The sequence below is a fragment of the Homo sapiens genome, chromosome 10 (assembly GCF_000001405.40).
Source record: "Homo sapiens chromosome 10, GRCh38.p14 Primary Assembly".
NCBI classification, from domain to species: Eukaryota; Metazoa; Chordata; class Mammalia; order Primates; family Hominidae; genus Homo; species Homo sapiens.
Genome location: NC_000010.11, coordinates 99,224,096 through 99,246,097, shown reverse-complemented (window position 1 = coordinate 99,246,097; position 22,002 = coordinate 99,224,096). Strand labels below are relative to the sequence as shown.

The following is a 22,002-nucleotide window of genomic DNA, read 5'->3' as shown; positions in this document are numbered from 1 at the left end:
CCTTTGATGTTTTTGTATCCTTGTAAAATATATTGTTTAACATATGTGTTTAATTTGCACTAACATTTTGCTATAGGTATCATTCTGGTTTTGCGTGTTTCTCACCTATCATTGTATTTAAAACCTATTTTATGTACATATGTATGTGTGTACATTTAGTTCATTGCTTCTAACAGTTGTCCTCATTTTACCTATCTATTTCCTTTATGATGGACATCTAGGTGTCTCCAATTCCTCACTATTAAACTCAGCGCTTTACTGACCATCTTCATTCAAATGTTTTAATGGCCTTTTTGCAAATTTTACTACTGGAGTTTATGCCCAGCAGTGGGATTACTGGCTCTTAGGGAATATACATATTTAATTTCACTAAGTATTGCCAGATCAGTCTCCAGAGTGGCCCAATTACTTTATACTTCCATCAGCATGCAAGAAGTTTCCCATTTTTCTACATTCACAATTAGCGTTATTCAGTATTTCAAATTTCCTAATCAGATGGTATAAAGTGAAAATATTTATTGAATGAAAGAATGATCAGTTTGAGAATCTGTTAAAGCTAGTAGGATGTATGGTATTTACTTGCATAATTTTCCCCCTTAGGGGATGGTCCCTCTCTATCTGAACTTTCACTTTCTAAATTAGGTGTAGAATAGATTCCAATAATTTTTTTGAGATATCCCTTAGAATCTGACCTATTTCTCCTCATTACCTGAAACCTAGGAATCAAATAGATTAAATAATGTGGTATCCTTTGTCATCTAAATTTGCTCTCTGAAATTAGAAACCAAATAGAATTGTGTAGTGAGGGATCTGGAATATTCTCAGGCCCTACTCCAAATAAATTATTAAAAAGCTCCTCAGATGATTTTAATGTGCAGCCAGGGGTGAGAATCCCTGACCTAGGCTTGCACGTTATTTTCATTTCTACTTGAAAGGGGAAAAGACTATTTTTAAGTATTTCAGCACAGGAAATACTATTTTATTGTGTGGTCCAGGCTTCAGAAAATCAAAAGAAGAATTTAAAATTTAAGTGTCTGATCAAAATTAAATATACTTCCCAAGAGTCATCAGCATGTCAATATCTCTAGATAATGAAAAGGACTAGAAGTATTAGAAAATTTGGTGACAGGGCTGATAAGGTTTAATATAACTAGTATTGAATTAAGGAAGTTCTTGGATCTGCTTATGTGGGGACAAAACTACTCCAAAGAATTAGGGGTCTAGATGTTAATTCAAGCAGAAGTAAAATATTCTATTGAGTAAGTATGTACTACTAAAGTCTGTCAGCTGATTTTGATTATTGAGTAGTGGAATGAATCAGTGGTAAGCCTTCTGTTATAAACATTTGCTTAACTCTCCTTATAATGAACTAAACATATTAGAGTATTTAAAAAGGTCAAAGTCTCATGCCTGTAGTCACAGCATTTGGGAGGCTAAGGTGGGAGGATTGCTCTAGCCCAAGAGTTTGAGACCAGCCTGGGCAACATGGTGAGACCCTGCCTCTACAAAAAAAAAAAAAAAAAAAAAAATCCAGGCATAGTTCACACCTGTGGTCTCAGCTACACAAGGCTGCTGAAGTGAGAGGGTTGCTTGAGTTTAGGAAGTAGAGACTGCAGTGAGCCATGATCACACCATTGCGCTCCAGCCTGGGTGACAGAGTGAGACCGTGTCTCAAATAATAATAATAATAATAATAATAATAATAATAATAATAAAAGAAATAAAAATAAAAAGGTCAAAGTATGCCATTAGCCTAGAGAACAAAAGAAAATACCGTTGTAGGCCGGGCGTGGTGGCTCACGCTTGTAATCCCAGTACTTTGGGAGGCTGAGGTGGGCGGATCACGAGGTCAGGAGATTGAGACCATCCTGGCTAACATGGTGAAACCCTCTCTCTACTAAAAATACAAAAAATTAGCCGGGCACGGTGGCGGGCGCTTGTAGTCCCAGCTACTCTGGAGGCTGAGGCAGGAAAATGAGCCGAGATAGCACCACTGCAGTCCCGCCTGGGTGACAGAGCGAGACTCTGTCTCAGAAAAAGAGAAAATACAGTCGTAGCTAGTCAGTTTTTTGGAGTTGACAAACACAATTGTATTACAGGCAAATGTTTTATTACAGGTCCATTAATCTCAATGTTTGAGATTAATATTTTATTTTATTTTCGAGACTGAGTCTCTCTCTGTTGCCCAAGCTGGAGTGCAGTGGGGCAATCTCTACTCACTGCAACCTCCACCTCCCAGGTTCAAGCAATTCTCCTGCGTCAGCCTCCTGAGTAGCTGGGATTACAGGTGCTTGCCACCATGCCCAGCTAAGTTTTGTACTTTTAGTAGAGATGGGGTTTTGCCTTGTTGGCCAGGCTGGTCTCAAACTCCCAGCCTCAGGTGATCTGCCTGCCTCAACCTCCCAAAATGCTGGGATTACAGGGAGATTAATATTTTAAATGTATTGAGATAAATATACATGATTTATATACATTGCTTTCTCAGAAATTATCTTTAAGATTGATTAATATGTAATAACTGTGTAAGAAAACAGTACATATAAAAACAACTTATACATACATACATAGTTAATGAAGCTATAGAACATGTGAAAGGCAATCTGATTTTTTACCCCTAGGATATTAAAAGTTCTTGGTATTTTCAATAAGAAACATACTCGAAGTGTAGTCAGTAGAGCTGGCATTAGTTTCAAATTCTTCAAGAAACAACTTGAAAATTTTAACTCTATAATTTTTTTTTTTTTTGAGACAGAGTCTTGCTCTGTCACTGAGGCTGGAGTGCAGTGGTGCAATCTCAGCTCACTGCAACCTCCGCCTCCTGGGTTCAAGCAATTCTCCTGCCTCAGCCTCCCGAGTAGCTGGGACTATAGGCATGTGCCACCACACCCAGCTAATTTTTTTTATTTTTAGTAGAGACAGGGTTTCATGGAGTTAGCCAGGATGGTCTCAATTCCCTGACCTCGTGATCCGCCTGCCTCAGCCTCCTAAAGTGCTGGGATTATAGGCGTGAGCCACTGTGCCCGGACTTAACTCTAATTTTTTACCCAAATTATGAAGATAAAGTCTGTGCTTTTTTATGCTATGAGCATAAAATTAAATAGTATATATGTAAATTATATTTCAAAACCTTAGGTTGTAGGTATATAATTTCCTTGTAACCCATCTGTGCAAATTACACTCATTTCCACAGTGAAACCCAACCAGGAGAAGGACAATGAGTAGCAACTATATGCCAGGTACTAAAGATATTATCTCATTTAATTCTCACAACACATTTGGAGGGAAGTAATCTTATGCCTGTTTTATAGATGGGGAAATTGGGACTCAGCAAGGATAAATAACTTGTTCAACAAAGGTCACATTAGCAGATATTAAATTGGGAATTAGATTTTAATCAGTCTATCAGACTCCAAAGTCCACACTTTTTTCAATATAATATGATGCTTTTCAGGACTTACCTGAATGTATAAATGGCAAAATTGGCAGGGATGGTAAAAGATAGGTTCTTCACTGGGTGTAACTAAGACATGAGTAATTTTAATCTGCTTTTCTGTTAGTTTTCTATCTCTAGCAGTCCCTCAAGTAACTGTCATCCCTACCTCCAAACATGCTAAGGGGTTTCAAACTGAACTTATTAGAGTCAATCACATTTATTATGGTTATGATCTTCCCCAAATAAATGTACTGCTTGATGGCAGTAGTAAGGACAAAGACCAGAGTTTTCTTAATATGATGAGGTGGAGCAATCACAGTTATAAATTATGAAGCCATTGAACACATGAAAGGCAATCTGATTTTTTTCCCAGGGATATTACACATAAAAATTCTCAGGTATTTTCAATAACAAACATCCCCAAAGTGTAGTCAGTAGAGCTGCCAATTATTTTCTCCTTCAGCATTCCATATGGAGAAAGTGTTGTCATCCCTTGCTTCTCCTGGCAGGACAGAGACAGTCCTTGATGGCAAAATAACATACTTTGTAACCAGGGTTCTCTTGTACTGTCCTTTGCCTATTCCTGTTTTCCCTTTCCTAGTAGAAAATCAAAGACATATAAAACCTACTCTAATTTCTTCCTTAAAAGATGCTAATCACAGGCAGAAGAGCCTACATGATTAAAATATGTGGTATAGACTTGTTTGACCACGTTTATTAACACCATATTATATTAGATAGAGTTCACCTTTTGTTTCAGGTTTACCACTAAGTCATTCATGTATAACTTAATTCTTACCATAGTCATTAGTTAAGGGGATGTATTTGTGGCACGTGTGGGAGACAGGAAATAAGAATGAATAAGAAAGCGATAGCACAATTGTATAATTTTTTTTATTTTTTTGAGATAAGGTCTCGTTCTGTTACCCAGGCTAGAGTGCAGTGGCATGATCTCATAGCTCACTGTAGCCTTGAACTCCCGGGCTTTAGTGATTCTTCCCACCTCAATCTCCTGAGTAGGTTGGACTACAGGCATGTGCCACCATACCCGGATAATGTTTTAAACATTTTGTAGAGACAGAGTCTCACTGTGTTGCTCAGGTTGGTCTCAAACTCCTGGGCTCGAGCAATCCTCCCGTCTTAGCCTTCCAAAGTGCTGGGATTAGCATGAGCCACTGTGCCTGATTGATTGTATATTTTAGAATTTATAAAGTACTTTCCCCGTACATAAACTTACTAATTATTGCTTTACTCTTGGATATTATATCAGTTTGACAGATAAGGCAGCTGAGGCTTAGAACCATTAAAAATTTTATCCAAGTTTACAAGACTAGATCTGGTAAAGTCAGGACTTAAACCTAGAGCCTCCAACTCCTGCTCTAAGGTTTTTTTTGTTGTTGTTTTTGTTTTCCCACTATACATTGATAGGTTCTGGAGGGTTATACAATACTTTAGCCACTTGTGTTGACTAAGAACACAAACCTAGGCTTTAGAGTCAGATGGCCCTTGGTTTAATTCTGTGTTGGTACTTATTAATCTGTGTACCATGAGAAAGTTAATATCTAAGTCTCAATTTTTTCATATGTAAACTAGGTATAAGAAGAAGTTTATACAAAACTCTTCTTAGGGTTTTTTTGAGAGCACCATGCTTGAACCATGAGATCTCAATAAATATTAGTCATCATAGTTGGGTATACAGGCAGTAAGTGAGGACACAGTGGACTGGCTGTTATATCTTCATGCTTCCCAGTCCTAGTTACAGTGTAAAGCATTTTTTAAAATTTCTATTAGACAGCTAGGCATAATTCTTACAGAAGGGGAAAATGGGAATAGTGAAAACTAAGCTTTGAATGTTTAGTAGAAGGAAAGGGCAGGCGGCATATAGAATTAATGAGTTTGTGACAGGCTGAAAGTGAGAAAAAGGCATAGGAAAAGTCAAAAGAAATCATTGTAGGCTGGGCGTGGTGGCTCACGCCTGTAATCTCAGCACTTTTGGAAGCCGAGGCGGGCAGATCGCGAGGTCAGGAGGTCAAGACCATCCTGGCTAACACGGTGAAACCCTGTCTCCACTAAAAAATACAAAAAAATTAGCCGGGCATGGTGGCAGGTGCCTGTAGTCCCAGCTACTTGGGAGGCTGAGGCAGGAGAATGGCGTGAACCTGGGAGGCAGAGCTTGCAGTGAGCTGAGATCGCACCACTGCACTCCAGCCTGGGTGACAGAGTGAGACTCTGTCTCGAAAAAAAAAAAAAAAAAAGAAAATCATTGTACTCAAGATGACCATTAGCTGTACATCTTGCAATACTATATGCTACAAAGTAGAATTTGGACATAAACACAGAATAATATCCCAGTAGTCCCATTCACCAGTCCTAGTACCCATGTTGGTTACTGGTATATATTTCCACTTGTCTGAGATGAAATGATAATAATATAGGGATTTTTCTTTTCTTTTTTTCCTTTTCTTTTCTTTTTTTGAGATGGAGTTTTGCTCTTGTCGCCCAGACTGGAGTGCAATGGCATGATCTCGGCTCACTGTAACCTCCACCTCCTGAGTTCAAGTGATTTTCCTGCCTCAGCCTTCTGAGTAGTTGGGATTACAGGCACCCACCACCATGCCCAGCTAAGTTTTGTATTTTTAGTAGAGACTGGGTTTCACTATGTTGGTCAGGCTGGTCTCGAACTCCTGACCTCAGGTGATCCACCCACCTCGACCTCTCAAAGTGCTGGAATTACAGGCGTGAGCCACTGCACCTGGCCGGGATTTTTCATAAAGCTAAATTTACTCAGTTTAAACAACTGCTCTTTATTTTGACATGTCATTTTAGCTTTTGTTCAGATGTTAAAATTTTCCTTTCTTTTGGAAAGTAATAGAGATAAGTAGTTGACAGTTTTTATTAAGGTCCTTACTAGATAATATAAAAAGTTGACAAACGGGGCTGGGCGTGGTGGCTCATGCCTGTAATTCCATCACTTTGGGAGACTGAGGTGGGTGGATTGCCTGAGCTCAAGAGTTTGAGACCAGCCTAGGCAACACGGTGAAGCCCCGTCTCTACTAAAATACAAAAAATTAGCTGCGCGTGGCGATGTGCGCCTGTAGTCCCAGCTACTTGGGAGGCTGAGGCAGGAGAATTGCTTGAACCCCGGAGGTGGAGGTTGCAGTGAGCCGAGATCGTGCCACTGCACTCCAACCTGGGCGACAGAGCGAGACTCTGTCTCAAAAAAAAAAAAAAAAAAAAAAAAAAAAACCTTGACAAACATTATGTCCACTCCTCCCCATTAACTAATATTTATTTTGAAAAAACAAAGTCTAGAAATCACTGAATCAGTTAATCTTCACGTTTTCTTACAGTTCTGGGAACCTGGGCTCTTAGATATCAAAGCAATTTATCTATGAAGACCATTCAGTAGACACTAAGCAGAGCGTTTCCAAGGAGACATCAGTGCATCTAGTTCCTGAGAGTTCATATTTTATTTTTTAATTTTAATTTTACTTTTTATTTTTTTGAGACAGAGTCTTGCTCTTGTCACCCAGGCTGGAGTGCAATGGCTCCATCTTGGCTCACTGCAACCTCCTCCTCCCAGGTTCAAGCAATTCTTCTGTCTCAGCTTCCTGAGTAGCTGGGATTACAAGTGCCCACCACCATGCCCAGCTAATTTTTATATTTTTAGTAGAGACGGGGTTTCACCATGTTGCCAGGTTGGTCTCGAACTCCTTACCTCAGGTGATCCGCCTGCCTTGGCTCCCAAAGTGCTGGGATTACAGATGTGAGCCACTGTGCCTGGCCTGACAGTTCATATTTTATACAGAGGCCCAATACTTGTCTTCTAGGAAGTTACAATCTAAGACAAAACAGAGATGCAGATTGCTGTCACCTAGCACACAGAAGATAGGATAGAAACATCAATCTAATATACTGATTACTAATGAACTACTTACAGCATATTAATAGATAAGAGGCAAGACAAAAACCATGATATGGTATATGTGTGGCAGCTATTTGCAGAGTATCTCTGGAGATCTAAACCCAAACTAAACCAAAGCACCAAACAATCAAATCATCTTAGAGACCAACGAGGGCTAACCTCTTAAATATCAGTTATTTCTTTCCCCTGATGTCCTCTATAGAATGACTTAGAATTTCAATGGCTAGACTAGAGAAATGGTTTTCATCAGGAATTAAGAAAACAAGCACTTTGTTTTGTTGGTTTTGATTTTAATACCACATACAGATTCTGATGAAAACATTAAATACTACTTAGTTAGGCCAATAAACCATTATAGAGTAGTTAGGTCAGTAAGCAAAAATGGTGAAAATTCATAATTATGTGCATTCTCATTATACTCAAGTTCATTCTTGGTCACAAGAATAGGTATTTTTGAAAGGTATTAATTATAGACATCTAGTGGATATACGTATTCAAATTGTCTTCCATTGGTCCCAATTAACATGGCTTCTAAAAGTGCATTCACTTGTAAGCCAAGGGTATTTTAGGCCCTTGGAAAATCTGGCTCATTGTTAAAAATATATAATTTTAAAAATTCTTAGTATAGCAAATGAACTAATGGCTTTACACGTTAAGTATTTTTTGAAGGAGATGGCCAGGAAAATGTTAATAACTGGGAAAACAAATTATTGAACAGAGACCCAAAACATAATTTACTATGACAAATAAAAGTATTTATTTTTCACATTGTTCTGGAGAGGGGCATATTATTTCAGTGTGTTGAGCATGATTGGATTTACCATTAATTTACTTCACAGAATTTATTGAGTGCCTACTAAGTGCTCCAGTCTGGGAACACAAAGGCAAAAGTGTTTGCCCGCCAGGCTGTTGCCATCTCTAAGAGGTGCTCAATACATACTTAAAAATTACAAGAATTTCGACTGAAATTTATGTCACACCACACACCCATACACAGACACACACACACAGTTTAAAGGATCTAGATGTCTTAGAAATGTTCAGGAACTGAAGGAAACAGGCCTTAGGGCTGGAGCCAACATCCAATACTTCACTATGTAACAGCTTGATTTAAAAAAATCATCTTTAAATAATATGACTTGCATTTGCTTTCTCCCATATCCTCATCTTATGCAGTCCTATTTCTAGAAGGTCGTCATGGCGCTTCACAGATGAATGCAACATAATCTCGATTTCCTGGGTGCTTAGGTTGGTAGAGGCTTTTCAGGGAACTTCAGTTGAAGGTCATCTATTCCAGCTGTTTTCAGATTTGTTAATCCTGGTCTGGGTGGAGGTAAGAGGATACAGGTTGCTATTACAGCGTTTGCTGGGCTTTAAGACTAACCCTTGTCCATCCACTTCTGGGGAAAACCCTTGCTCTGCATTTTAGGGTTTTGCTTGTTTGATACCAAGGAGGGCCCTGGACGCTTCTGCGTTTCTGACTGCCCGCACTACATAAAGTAGTTCCCTTCATCTGCCAAGTAGAAGTCCCATTTTGTCTCAGAAAGAAGCCGAAAGTGGGGCCCAGCAATGTGACTGCAGCAAACTGTGCCTGATCCCTTTCCCGCGCTTCAGGATAGGACCTAGAGTTCAATTTGCAAGCTGTTGTGGGGTGGAAGCTCAATGAGCAGCGGCGGGTCGTGCATCACAGCGGCTTCCGGCTGTTATTCCCCATCCAGGGCTATGTGACTCTGGTTTTGACTGGGGGCCGAGATGGAAACCCGAAAGTGTCACTATGGTCCCATCTGGCACTGTAAAGGCGCACTTCCCTGCAGGAGGGCTAAGTATAGGATTGACCTCCAGGAGGGTCTGGAGGGGGGACTCTACCTGTGCAGCAGAATAGAGTGGCCAAGAAGTGGCACAGTTGGACGCAGAGCCGCCCTGACTATCCAAGCACAGCTCAGGTAGCTTCGACTTGGCCAAAGCCAGCATGTATTGACGCTCCCAAGACGCTTATTCCTCGGTTGCGGGAAGAGCAGAGCAGAGCGAGGGCGCATGTCCCTTTTGGCCCTCGGATCGGAAAAGCTGCTTGACCAGGTCACTATGTTTTTCCTTCTTGCTACTCTTTGCCCTATGGAGGTCAGAGGATGCTTCGGTGTGGCTATCCAACGCGTCACAGAGATCAGGGCTCCTCTTCGGGGAATGTCCTTCAGGGCTCTATGCTTTGACAGGAATCACCGCCTCAAGACCCCTCTGCAACTTAACCGCCCTTGGTATTGCTGCTTCAACCAGAAAAGGGCCCTGAGCGGACGAAGTGCCTGACGCTGTCAGGAGAAACAAGCGTGCTGTCGGTGGGAACTCTATCCCAGCGCGTCCCGGGTTGGCGCTGGGGCTTTCGGGTCGGAGTCGGAGCTTGAACCGCCCTCCAGAGCCTCTCAGGGAAGGACGTAAAAACGAGACCCTTTGCTCTGTACCCAGACGGTACAACGGCATGGTTTGGATTCCTCCCTCTGCTTCCTGACCCTAGAGGGTTAAATTAGGAGGGTACAACGCCACCCTTTTCTCCTCCTTCCCGCCTGCTCCCCTCCCCTTACCTTTAAAAAGTTAAAAAATGTCTGCAGTAGAAATCTCTTAAAGGGGCGGTGCCGGTGTACGAGTTCTCTTGGCAAGAGTCACGGGGAAGGCTGGCTAGGGGCGTGAGTTCGCTCCACCAGCACCAAAACACTGAAAAAAAAAATTAAAAAAAATTAAAAAAAAAAAAGAAAAAAACAAAACGAGCGAGCGAGCGAGCGAGAGAGAGAGAGAGCGGGAGAGAGAGAGAGTGTGTGTGTGTTGGGGGGGTGGTGGGAGGAAGGGAAAAAAAGGGGGGAAAAAGGCGGACAGACACACACTTTAGATAAGGACAATTAGTCACTAGCGAGACCCAGTAGGAAGAGAGGTTTAAATCAGAGGGATTGAATGAGGGTGCTTTGTGCCTTCCCTGAAGCCATGCCCTCCAGCAACTCCCGCCCCCCCGCGTGCCTAGCCCCGGGGGCTCTCTACTTGGCTCTGTTGCTCCATCTCTCCCTTTCCTCCCAGGCTGGAGACAGGAGACCCTTGCCTGTAGACAGAGCTGCAGGTTTGAAGGAAAAGACCCTGATTCTACTTGATGTGAGCACCAAGAACCCAGTCAGGACAGTCAATGAGAACTTCCTCTCTCTGCAGCTGGATCCGTCCATCATTCATGATGGCTGGCTCGATTTCCTAAGGTAAGGCAGGGGTTTCGATGGATCATTTAAAATTTTTTAGTAACACCCCCTCAAGCCCTTCCTATCCCCCATTCCAAAGGGGAAAGAAGAAAATAAGCCAAGCAGATCTCTCAAAGAGAAGAAAAGAGGTTTTCCTTCTCCTGGATTGTGTGCTGTGAGGCTGTAACTAGTGATTGAGAAAAGCAATGTTTTCTATTAAGATGCACATGTTTGCAATGCAGAAGGCATTTCAGAAACTTATCAGTTATGACTGAAAAAATGTTGTGCTTACATATATCCACAATTAGCCTTCCCGTCTACTTCTGAAAAAGAAACAAGAGGTTCAGAGCAGTTACAAAAGCGAAGAAAAGGTCTCAAACAACAAAGAGCTGAAAGGAATGGGTATGTGTGTGTGTGTGTGTGTGTGTGTGTATGTGAGACAGGAGAGTGTGTGTGTGTGAGTGTTCAAGCGGGATTGCACGAAACTGGAATTTTCCACGGAAAGATCGTTTCGTCAGTTCTCTCCCACTCTCAGAAAACGAATTTAAGCAGAGGCTTGAGTGGTGGGCAAGTTGGATCGGAGTTAAAATTTTTTATTTTATATCCTCCGCTGTCATTTCCAGACTTCAGGACTTTGTAAGGCGCTTTTTATAGACGGAATGCCCCCCTCCCCCCGCCAGTTCCTCCTCCTTAAATCTCCTGCGGTAACTGCACAGTTTAGCTTTTCTTTAAAGGAAAAAAAAAATCCTCGCTGGGGTCACAGCGTTATAAGGGAAGCGGTAAGAGTCCTAGAAATACTCCAGGGAGGCTTCGGAGATCTGAACTCCGCACCAGCAGATTAGCAAACCCGGAGGTTTGTGATCCCCTTTGCTCTAGGGCTTGTAATCTAATTGGGCTCACACTCTTCCCGGGTTGTTGCAGTTTGGCAGTTAGGCAACTGCGATCCCTTCCCATCAGGGACAGAGTTGCAGTGTAAAATAAGAAATAAATCCTCTGCAATGTCGAATCCAAGTGTTGAGTTTTTAAAAATTCCCTACAAGTTGGAGCCTCAGCTGTGGGTTCCCCTCGAAGAGCCCTCAGCGCTCTCAGTCCCACTTTGCCCCGAGGCCAGGTCCGTTGTGCGTCCTTCGTATTTTTCACTCCTTGCGAAATTCGAGTTTTGCTTCTTGAGGTGCGCCCGCCTCTCAGCTCTTGGGGTTGTCCCCCTGGCCCGGGTCGGGTCTGCGGACGCGGCAGGTAGCGGGAGGCGCCACGTGGAGCGCTCCTTCCACGTGGAGGAAAGGTAGCCGGAGGACTGAGAGGCTGTAGCTGCCCTTGCCGAGGCCGTTTCGGTTCCTGTTGGTGCGGTTGCCGCGAGGGCGGAACAGCCAGCTCCGCGCGGCCCAGCTTCCTCTTCGAAAGCTCTTTCGTGCAGCAGAGCGCGTCTATGAGCTCGTCCGAATGTAGGGTGCAACGGAGTTTTCCGCAACGCTTGTCCCACTTTCATTGAACTCCTTCAGCTGCGCAGACCCCCTTTCCCCCACCAGCTTTCTTTCTTTTTTTAAAAAATCTGCCTGTTCGCCTAATGCTTTCCTGCCTCAGAAAAGAGTCTGGAAGGCAGATTTTCGGGGAAGAAGTCCTGGCGGGGCGCATTCGCATTGGCTGTGCAGGCTTCTGGATGAAAGGTTGTTGGAACTGCCCTTTCCCCAGGACCGGATTCGCGCGGACGTCTCCTTTGCCACAGTAGGCCCACGCGACGCCCTGACTGTGCCTGTCCTGGAGTGCGGTCCCGGAGACTTCTGCCAAACGACCATTCTGGTTACAAGACCCTGGGGTAGCCACGTCTCTTCTCAAAAAACTCTCCAAAAGCAGAGTCTGTTTTTTCTTTCTCGTATCCACCTCCTTTATGATGCTCTTTAACGTCACCATGTGGATTTGGGTTTTCAGAATCTGAAACAGTAAAGCGTTAAAAAATAATTTACAGACCCGGAACTCAACAGCTGATCCCCTCTGCATTATCAGTATCTGCATTGCTCCTTTTCTACTCCTTCCCAAAGCAGCAGCCTTTGGCTTTTAAAAAACCTATTGATGGAAATCCTGACCTTAAATAGATGCAAATGCTATTGTTTTGTGCTCATTTAGTATCCCATAACGCGCAGGTTCCACATTTCGGCAAGCTTCATTTTCCCTAGCGGTTCCAAACGGCCCCAAGTGGGAAAGAAGAAAGATGGAGCCTAACTCGGGGGTGGGGTGGGGAGGAGGATGTTACCTTTCCTGAGATCAGGCGGAATTATTTCAGGGGCCAAAGAGACTTTGCCTTTACTGTGTGTGTGTGTGGTGGTGGTGGTGGTGGTGCGGGAGTGGAGAAGTGTTCTTGGAAAGGCGAGGGTTTACCCTGGGGATCTCTCCGTCCGGGGATTTGGGAAACAATGCAGTTTTTACAATATAGTGAAAAAGGAAAATCAACTCGGACATTAAAAGAAAGAAAGTAGGAATCCACTTAAGCTCAGGCGCCGGGCCTGGTCTGAGAGAAACAAGGCAGGTTTCACCTCCTGCACGGAGGTTTGTGGGGCCCCTGGGGCTGCGGAGGCAATGCCGGCTTTCAGCATACAAGTTTTTGGCAACGGTCGGAAGCCAGAGGTAGGCGCGCCTAGCGCGTCTCCGCCCGGAGCGCTTTCCTGGCAGTGGCAGAAGCCGGGCAACTGCGCTTTAGCGCCGTGCTCGTAGCACGTACACCCACCCCATACAAACACTCTATGAACAAACACTATCTGTAGCCTTTAGGAGATCAGGATCTGGGTGTCTGCGGGAGGGGGCCGCTGCGGGCGTCTGGAAGCGGGAGGCACAGCCCCCAGAGCCGGGCGGTGAGGGCGGGCTGGGGCGCAGGGCAGCGGCCAAGGGCCAGCGTGGACTGCCGGCTGGGGCAGGCACAGAGCCTCTAGCCCCGGCCAGGTCGCCCTCAGGGAGTAGGAAGAGGGCCCTTCTCCGTGCCCCACGCGCTCTCGTCCTGTCCTGGGAACCTTTCCTCTCTTATTCTCTTCCTCTGCAGCTCCAAGCGCTTGGTGACCCTGGCCCGGGGACTTTCGCCCGCCTTTCTGCGCTTCGGGGGCAAAAGGACCGACTTCCTGCAGTTCCAGAACCTGAGGAACCCGGCGAAAAGCCGCGGGGGCCCGGGCCCGGATTACTATCTCAAAAACTATGAGGATGGTGAGAAACTTGATTACCATTCTTTATTTGGGGAGCGGAAGCAAGCACCCGCTGTGTTTGTGTATCTGTGTGTTCGTGTGTCTGTGTGTTCGTGTGTGTGTGTGTGTGTGTGTGTGTGTGTGTGTGTGTGTGTATGCGCGCGCGCGCGTTGGGGCAGATTTGGAGAGCCTGGTTGCACCTCGCCTGAAAATGAAAAGTTGGAAGCTTCAGATGAGGAGACACTGCAGTGTGGAACTCCTGACCTCATTGCGCAAAGGGGGTTCTCCAGGTTGTTCTCACCCAGCTGCCGGCCTTTTGCTGGGCGGCTGTCTTGGAGGCTGAGAGCTGGTAGCCCAAACTGCTTAACAGGCTGTTCCTGCGGGGTGTAGATGCAGCAGGTTTTTTGAGAAAATTCAGCCAGGTTCATAGATTATTAAAGGTCAGAGTCATATTTCATTGCTAAAATTCTAGGCAAAGTGCCTTTCTGTTTTTCTTATTTCTTGCCTTCCTGTGATTAGGGTACAGAAGGAATTCAGCCGTTTTTGAAACCCACTCTAAAGTTTTCTGGAATAATCCCTTTTAAATTGGTCCCTTGTTGAGGAAGGTTTGGAAATCTCCACAGTTAGTTCTTCTTCAGATTGCCTAATCTCAGAGTTGCATTTTTTTTTTTCTGTTTTAAAATGGGATTACAAATGCCAGCTTTCTTTCCTGACGGGATTAGATAAGTGTTGGAAGGGCTTTGAAAACTTGAAATCTTATTTCAATCTGAGAGGCCAATCTTTTTTGGTTTGAACGGTCTCATTTTTACTAGGGATAAAAAATGAAAATGCTATTGAAAATTTTTTGTTTAGAAGGTTAGGTGTTAACATCTATGAACTTCCTGTTTAAGTGGAGGGATGTACTTTCAAAGAGGCACGATGGAGGGTATTGGCGTTTCTTGAGCTATTGACACTGTTAAGATTGGATAGAAGAGGCATTAGTGTCCATTCTTGGAGGGCTATCATCCCCGTTGCTGTTCCTTCTTATAAGTAAACTAGTTTTATATGTAAAGGGCTCAGGGACAGATTTTCAGAGCCTTCTGAATTTTGTTATATCTTGTCCTTACAAATCAGCTAAAGGAGCAAATGCCCTTGTATTTTCTTGGGCCTTCATTGAAAAGTACTTCTGGAGAGGTATTGGAATGTATTTCAAGGGTGGCAGAGGAACATTTTTTTTTAAGTGCCAGAATAGAGAAAGAGGGCAAGGCTAAGGCTTCTTGAGTTTGGAGCATGACTAGGACTTACTCTTTTATAACATTTGCCAAAGCATGTAGGTGTTTAAGGCTATATCTTTTCAAAGATAAAAGTCATTGCTATGAAAGTATGGATTGCAAGTAGACTTTTGCTGTCACTCAGCATAAATGCTGAAAGGTAAAAGATAGTCTTTAACAGCACCTCCTATGGTAATTTGACCCAGAACCTTATAGCTCCCAGGGTCACTGTCAGCTCTGTGATCAGACATAAGAAGGGAGAATATTAATGGTTTTTCTGATATTAATGGTTTTTCTTCTTCCAATCCATTTGAACTACTTCCTCTTTAGTTTGTGGGAAAACTTGTAAGAGCCCCAGGAATTGCTGGGGGTGAGGGAGGGAGGAAAGGACCATTATAAGTTTAGAAATTGGTCTGTTTCTCCCAACTTTGTACCTAGGATTATGTTACACTGAGAACAATGAGATCTGTTTAAAATGAAGGCTACAATTTGTTTCCCTTTGTGAAAGGAGAAAGTGGGCATCATGGGGAGAAAAGAAATTGGCAGAAGGCAGTGCCCTGTAAAACTATATAAAATTAAAAAAAAAACATAAACGGAAAAGATCTAAGAGGTTACCTTCAGTCCTCTATCACGTTAGGGGCCAGTATAGGATCATTCCATATGGAATCCTTTTCTTGTTTTGTCCAACCTGGCATTAAATATCTCTAGGAATGTAGTTTTTCACCACTCATAGGGGAGAGAGTTCTTCTGTCCCATAAGCTTTTGCTGGGAAATTTCTCCTGAATTTTCCCTTTATAAGGATTTACAATTATTCCTGTTTGCATTTTTTAGACATCTATCTTCAAAATAATTTCTGCCTTTGGTGTGAGTGTTAGCTTAAAAAAAAATGTTTCCTCATAGCTGTTTTTTATCTAGACTACCTGGATCTAATTCTTTTAAAACTTTCTTTAAAGTCAGTCCTTCCAGACACTAATCTGTTTTATTGCTCCTAGCCGAACTCCTTTTGATTTATGTTTTCCTAGTAATAAGATGCTCTGAACTATATCAGTATTTGAGGCTTTAGCAGAGTTAAAGAGAATGAGAATGTCCTATTTCTGCCCTTTGAAGCTCACATATCCTTAAATTACCCATACTGTCTTTGTTGTTGCATGTTGCATTGCAGAATTCAAGGCAAAATGTTCTTGGTATAGTCTCAGCAATTTTGAAAACATTATGCTTCTGTTGTCCCTTTTCATCTAGTGATAACTGTTATCATCATGAGCATCTTAAAGTAATTAAGCCTTCTTAGGAAATGGTCCTGTAGTAAGCACTTGGGCATAAAGGCATCTTATTAAAAAATGTATTTACTTAGACGTAGTACAGAATAACAACATACATTTTGAGTAATAAGATATACCTACTGGCACATTATGAAACTGAATGATACAGTGAAGAGAAAATGGAATTTGGACTTAGGAAGGTTGCACTGCATGCCTGGCCCTATGACTTATGAATGTGTGGCCCAGGGCTTACTGTTTATAGCATGTGGATGATGATGATTACCTGCTGTACCTTGCTTCTCTGAAGGTTCTAAGAGGTAATGTTTGTAAGTTATTTTTTTGACTGCACAACACTATAAGAAAGGTAAGGATTCTTACATTCATTAAAGGCAACTTCAGCAAATTTCTAATATATATTTAATGTTTTAAAGTGGGATTAAGGAGTGAGTAAGATTTAATGAGACTGAAGCTTTTACAGAAGGCAGAAGGTAGATTTATGGAATTACCTGAGAGGATTGAGAGAATGTAAGGAGAATTATCTTTAAGGAACAGAGTTGAGAACCAAAGGTGGCTTTTGTTATGTACTAATGTTAAAATGAATGGATAGTTGTAGCATTGAGCAAAAAGCTTCCACTTTTCTGGTTAATCCGTTTATATTGCTACCCTGATAAGTTTTTTTTTTTTTTTCGATATGGAGTCTCCTCTTTTGCCCAGGCTAGAGGGCAGTGGCATTATCTTGATTTACTGCAATCTCTACCTCCCAGGTAGAGTGATTTTCGTGCCTCAGCCTCTTCAGTAGCTGGGATTACAGGTGTGCGTCACCATGCCTCGCTAATTTTTGTATTTTTAGTAGAGATGGGATTTCACCATGTTGGCCAGGCTGGTCTTGAACTCCTGACCTCAACTGATCTGCCCAGTTCAGCCTCCCCAAAGTGCTGGGATTACAGACATGAGCCACTGTGCCTGGCCCCGATGTGATTTTGTTGTTCCCCTTGTTTTCCCATGAATTAATAATGCAATTAACAACTCATGTGTCTTCTGTTTTCCAGATACTTTCTGAGCACATTAATGCAACTGTATTTTCTCTAACTTTGTAAAACCACTGTTTATGTATCACTTTGGGAGCTTCACTGGTTACTCCTTTAATGCAGTTAACTATTCTACTCTATGCTTAGGCACCTTGAATTATATACACAAATAGTGATGATGGAAGAAGTAAAAATAGAGTTGTTCTTTATACCCAAGGAATCTTACTGTTGCCTAACTTCCTTTTTGTTCTATGTAATGTTATGCTTTACCTGCTCTCAACAAGGAAATCTTGGGTTATTCTTCTGTTCTTAAGTTTATTTTTTTCCAGTCTTCCCCTCTTTGTATTGTATTCAATGTGATTTATTTGTATGCATGTTTTTTTAAGACCATAACTGCATCTTTAATGAAGATGTACACCATTTTTTAAATGTACATCAAAAGCCAGCTTAATATTTCTAAAATGTCATATTCATCATGTTGCTCTTTTGCTAAAAAACTATGGTTATTTTTGGATTGCTTACATAATATGTTCAAACTCCTCAACCTGACATTCAAAACCTTTCACATTTCAGTCTCAGCTTACTTTCACTACCCTGTGTTTCCATATACCTTTTATTACAGCCCAACTTACTTGATTGTTCACTGTCTTCTTAAAGCACCTTTATTATCTCAACCCCGTACCTTTGTTCAGTTACTATATGAATATGCATTGAATGTATTTCTCTTGGCTTAAGTCAGAGCTTATTCCATCTCACCTAGTTTTTGAAGGCCCATTGCAAATGTTCCTTATTTGCACAAAACTGTTCTTGAACAGGTCATTCCACAGTGATCTCTTCTTTCTTTAGACTGCTGTAGCTTTTACTCTTTATGCTTTTCTTTTGGCTCCTTCTGCCTTGTTTTGCCATTTAATTTTATGTATATATATATATATGTATATACACACACACACACACACACACACATATATACACATTCAACTTTATATATATATATAGACATTCAACTTTATATATATACATATATATATATATTTTACCTTTCCATCTAGAATGCAAATTCTTTATAGGAAGACACCGTATCTAATTATTGTATATCCACAATGTCTAGCCTTTATGACACATGGTAGATCTTCAGCAAATTTTCTTGGGTGTATGCTAGGTTAAAAGCACTGTGAAAGGCCCTGGGAAAATGGAGGTGACCAGTGGAGAAATGACTGAAGGTATACATGAAGATTCCATTCATTTTACACTTTCAACACATATTCCCATGCAGTCCATTCTTGATGCTTATTTTTTAATGGCATTCTTCATGATTTTAACCATGTGCTCTTTATCTGTGGTTGTCTAAGTTGTCTTTATTTTATGCTATGTGTTAAATTAACTTTATTACCCAGTTTAAAGCCTTGCACTAGAACTACATTTTAAAAAATTGTATCTGTTTCTACCTTGCCTTTACTTTTGCTTTTCTTTGTTAGTCTAATGTAATTTCTATTCCTGATTTTTCAATTCCTGGTGTAACAGTGCCTTTTCACAACTTTCAAATATCTTTTATCTTTATCTCCTGAAGATTTTTCTCTTCAGAGAGCTTCTGAATTCTAAATGATGAATGTGTGTATACTTTGTAAACTCTAAGACACTGTATAACTATTATTATTCTCTTTTCTCTAGGAAGCTTTTCCACAGATGAAGTAATTAATTCTTTTTCTTTTTAATCCCATTCTATCAATCAAGACTTATGGTGTAAGAACAGCACAACTGCCAAAATACATATTTGCCTTGAACTTATCCACTTTCTATTATCTCATTTTATTTCACATAATGGTTTTGAAATTCTGTTACATTTAATAAGTATGTACTGATTATCTACTCTCTGTTTAGTTTCATGCTAGACAAAGAATGGCAGAATATAAAATAAATAAAAGATGCTATCCCAAATCACCATTAGAACACAACAGTAATAATTGCTTTAGGCGAGATACCTTAATCAAGTGTTGGACTTAGCGGGTGGAACTTTAAAAGAGGATATTTGCATAGCCTTAAAGCATCTCCCTCATAATATTTATTAACTAATTATTGTGGTGGTTTTAATATATGTCCACAAATTCTCCACCTCTGGGAGGTGGAGCTTAATTCTTCTTCCCTTGAGTGTGACTTGGATTTAAAGAAGAGAGTCTCCAAAGGGGAAAATAGTAACTTTTCACTGAAGAAATTGACAGATATCATTTTATCAATGACTAAGGTTAACATCAGCAGATAAGTCATATTGATATCATGTATTATTCTCTGATATGATATAATGAGAAGGGCACTTCACCATGTAATATTCTTTCCCCAAATCTGTAACTCTCAGTAAACATGAGAAAACATTAGTCAAACCCAAACTGAAGGATACTCTACAAGATACCTGACTTGTATTCTTCAAAAGATACTGCATCTGCTGTCAATGAACCAATAGTGTAGTTGGTGAGACAACATTAACACTGACAAAACTGAAGAATAACAGAAAGACAATTTAGAATGAAGTGCTAAGTGGAATATAATAGTTTGCCAGGGTATAACAAGAAAAGTAGAGTTGAATGCTGGTGAGACTTAGGTGGGAGTTAGATAGGTAGGTAGACCTTAGAGAGAGAGAGACAAGAAGAGAGGATATGCAACTCAAGAGAGAGAGCATGAGGCAAATCCTCGTATATATTTGGGCAGGAAGGAGACCACCCTGGCTACATAGAAAGTATGTTAGAATTATCTTCATGTGGTAAAACCATGTCAAAATCTCTTTTATAGAAGCCTATTTACACATTTTTGTTAAATAGAAATGTTTATAATTAAAGAAAAATGTATAAAATAAAGTACATTAGAAATTATCCCAAGCAAAGTTCATATTGCTAGAATTATGTTTAAATTGAGTTTTAATACATTCTAATCTATTTTTCTTAACTTCAAAATATGTAATTGAAGAAGAAGAAGAAAAAGAAAGTACATGTGTGAGAGAAAATGTTGGTTGGGTAAATCCAGATCAGATTATGGGAATCTTGAAATTTAGGCATAGTAAAATGGAATTGGCCATAGAGGAAAAAAGAGGCTATTTTATTTTACTTCATTGGAGAAGGGAAGGACACATTTCAACAGGGGCCTTCCATGACACTTGCTCTCTCCCATCTTCCCTTTCCAAATCACTAGACACATTCATCCCCTCCCTCTAACTAAACTGTGTTATAATAACTGCATTTGTCAAGGTTTGAGTTACAAAGCATGCTTAAAAGACAGATCCTAAAATTGAATTATTAATTAGATCCTTACATTGCAAGTTTTATAAAGTAAAAGGTCTTAAAATTTGCTTGTTATTTTATGTTATTCTTCCTTCTTTTGTAGAGTAAATGTAGGCTAGTATTTTATAATCATTTATTTACTCATTGAGTAGGCATCTAGTTTCAGGCCTCTGTTTGACACTGAAGCTGGGAAGATTAATGGGGCCCAGGTGTGATTGTCAAATTACTTACTATTGACTTCTTGTTACTTCAGCAGCAGCAGCTAAAAGCAGTTTGTAGAGAATTTTAGGCCCAAGAAAAGACCTCATTCTAACTTCATCCTTGGCATTTCACAATTTGTCTGCCAATAACTTTAGAAGGATTTGATATAATTTAATATTGTATTAAAAAGTGTCAGTAATCACCTGAAATTTTATGTATGTTTATTTATGAAGTTTTATTTATGTTTATTTTATTCTGCCTTTTGAAATCAAAATGGATGCATTTCTGTAATACCTTTGAAATTTTGTACGCAGGCCCTGAGTGTGAGCTGCAGTTCACTATATCCCAGTAAATCTGAATTTGTATCTTACAAAGATTTAGTCACCATGTCTAGTCACAGTGTAGTCATTGTGGCCACGTGCCTACTGCTAGAAGTGGTAGAGACCAAGAAATACTGGTCCATTACTTGTGGAGGTGGCTTAATTAATTTCAGCGAATCAGAAAAGCCAGTAAATAAACCTTTTAATGCTGACCCACATTTGTATAATTTACCACCTTGGGGAAAAAGGTAATTCATCAATTTTTTTTGTACAATGCAACTGTACTACTGTTGCCAATACCAAATTATTATTTCATCTGCCAAATTCATTTAAATTATCTCTCCTGGTCTCGCAATCCCTACTGATGGGATGGGGACCTCATGGAAGAAAAGCAGTTTCTTTCAAAAAGTTTTCTGGTTTTGCTTAGTCTGCTGGTCATGTGATCTGGACTCCTGTAGTCAGAAGTCTTGTCTGAGAATCCTTCATCAAAATGGATTAGATGTTAAGAATCTTGATTTGGGTACTTCTTAGTTCCTTAATCATGCTTTCAGCTATCTCAGTCTGTAAGACAGTAGATTGAAACTCTGAGCTATGTGTGTGTGTGTGTGTGTGTGTGTGTGTGTGTCAGAGAGAAAGAGAGTGAGAATGAATATGAGAATGAGAGAATTTTGTGTTTCATTCCCTGAACTTGTCTATCAGTGGTAATTTAGGCAAAGTGAAGACATATTTCTTGACTAGTGGTTAGTGCTGTTCAAGGTTTACATACCTTGTACAAGTTTGTTGAATTATTTTATCCATTGGCTTTCATGATCTAATTGAGTTGAGTTCAGTTCCATTCAGTTTTCTTCACTTTGATATGGTGAAAGACAGTGTAATTTTGCTCAATTCAATAAATGTTTTTTGATTATCAGTTGTATATAAGCCAGACTTAGTGCTAGATATTGGGGCAA

The 22,002-nt window shown here is 40.9% G+C and overlaps 1 protein-coding gene across 11 annotated transcripts in view, besides 3 other annotated features; it reads left to right on the top strand.

Moving 5' to 3' along the window:
• The window catches only part of HPSE2 (heparanase 2 (inactive)), an 858,875-nt gene that overhangs the window by 69,854 nt on the left and 767,019 nt on the right, over positions 1–22,002 (top strand). For 7 of the 11 annotated variants that reach the window (NM_001166245.1, XM_011540030.2, NM_001166244.1 and 4 more), the window contains exons 1-2: positions 10,223–10,585; positions 13,593–13,750. In NM_001166245.1, coding sequence (NP_001159717.1) covers positions 10,296–10,585; positions 13,593–13,750 — 448 coding nt within the window. In that variant the 5' untranslated portion in view covers positions 10,223–10,295. Of the gene's footprint in view, positions 1–10,222; positions 10,586–11,954; positions 12,417–13,592; positions 13,751–22,002 lie in introns of those variants that run through there. The other 4 variants (NM_021828.5, XM_024448119.2, XM_047425614.1 and 1 more) reach the window with 4 other exon arrangements.
• Positions 8,668–9,168: an enhancer, noted in NCBI's record as "H3K4me1 hESC enhancer chr10:100996687-100997187 (GRCh37/hg19 assembly coordinates)". NCBI's record gives its function as "activates a minimal SCP1, AML or CMV promoter by ChIP-STARR-seq in naive H9 embryonic stem cells {active_cell/tissue: H9 hESC(naive)}" and the evidence as "EXISTENCE:reporter gene assay evidence [ECO:0000049][PMID:30033119]".
• Positions 9,169–9,669: an enhancer, noted in NCBI's record as "H3K4me1 hESC enhancer chr10:100996186-100996686 (GRCh37/hg19 assembly coordinates)". NCBI's record gives its function as "activates a minimal SCP1, AML or CMV promoter by ChIP-STARR-seq in naive H9 embryonic stem cells {active_cell/tissue: H9 hESC(naive)}" and the evidence as "EXISTENCE:reporter gene assay evidence [ECO:0000049][PMID:30033119]".
• Positions 11,817–11,936: a silencer, noted in NCBI's record as "silent region_2691". NCBI's record gives its function as "represses an Ori minimal core promoter by ATAC-STARR-seq in GM12878 lymphoblastoid cells {active_cell/tissue: GM12878}" and the evidence as "EXISTENCE:reporter gene assay evidence [ECO:0000049][PMID:35858748]".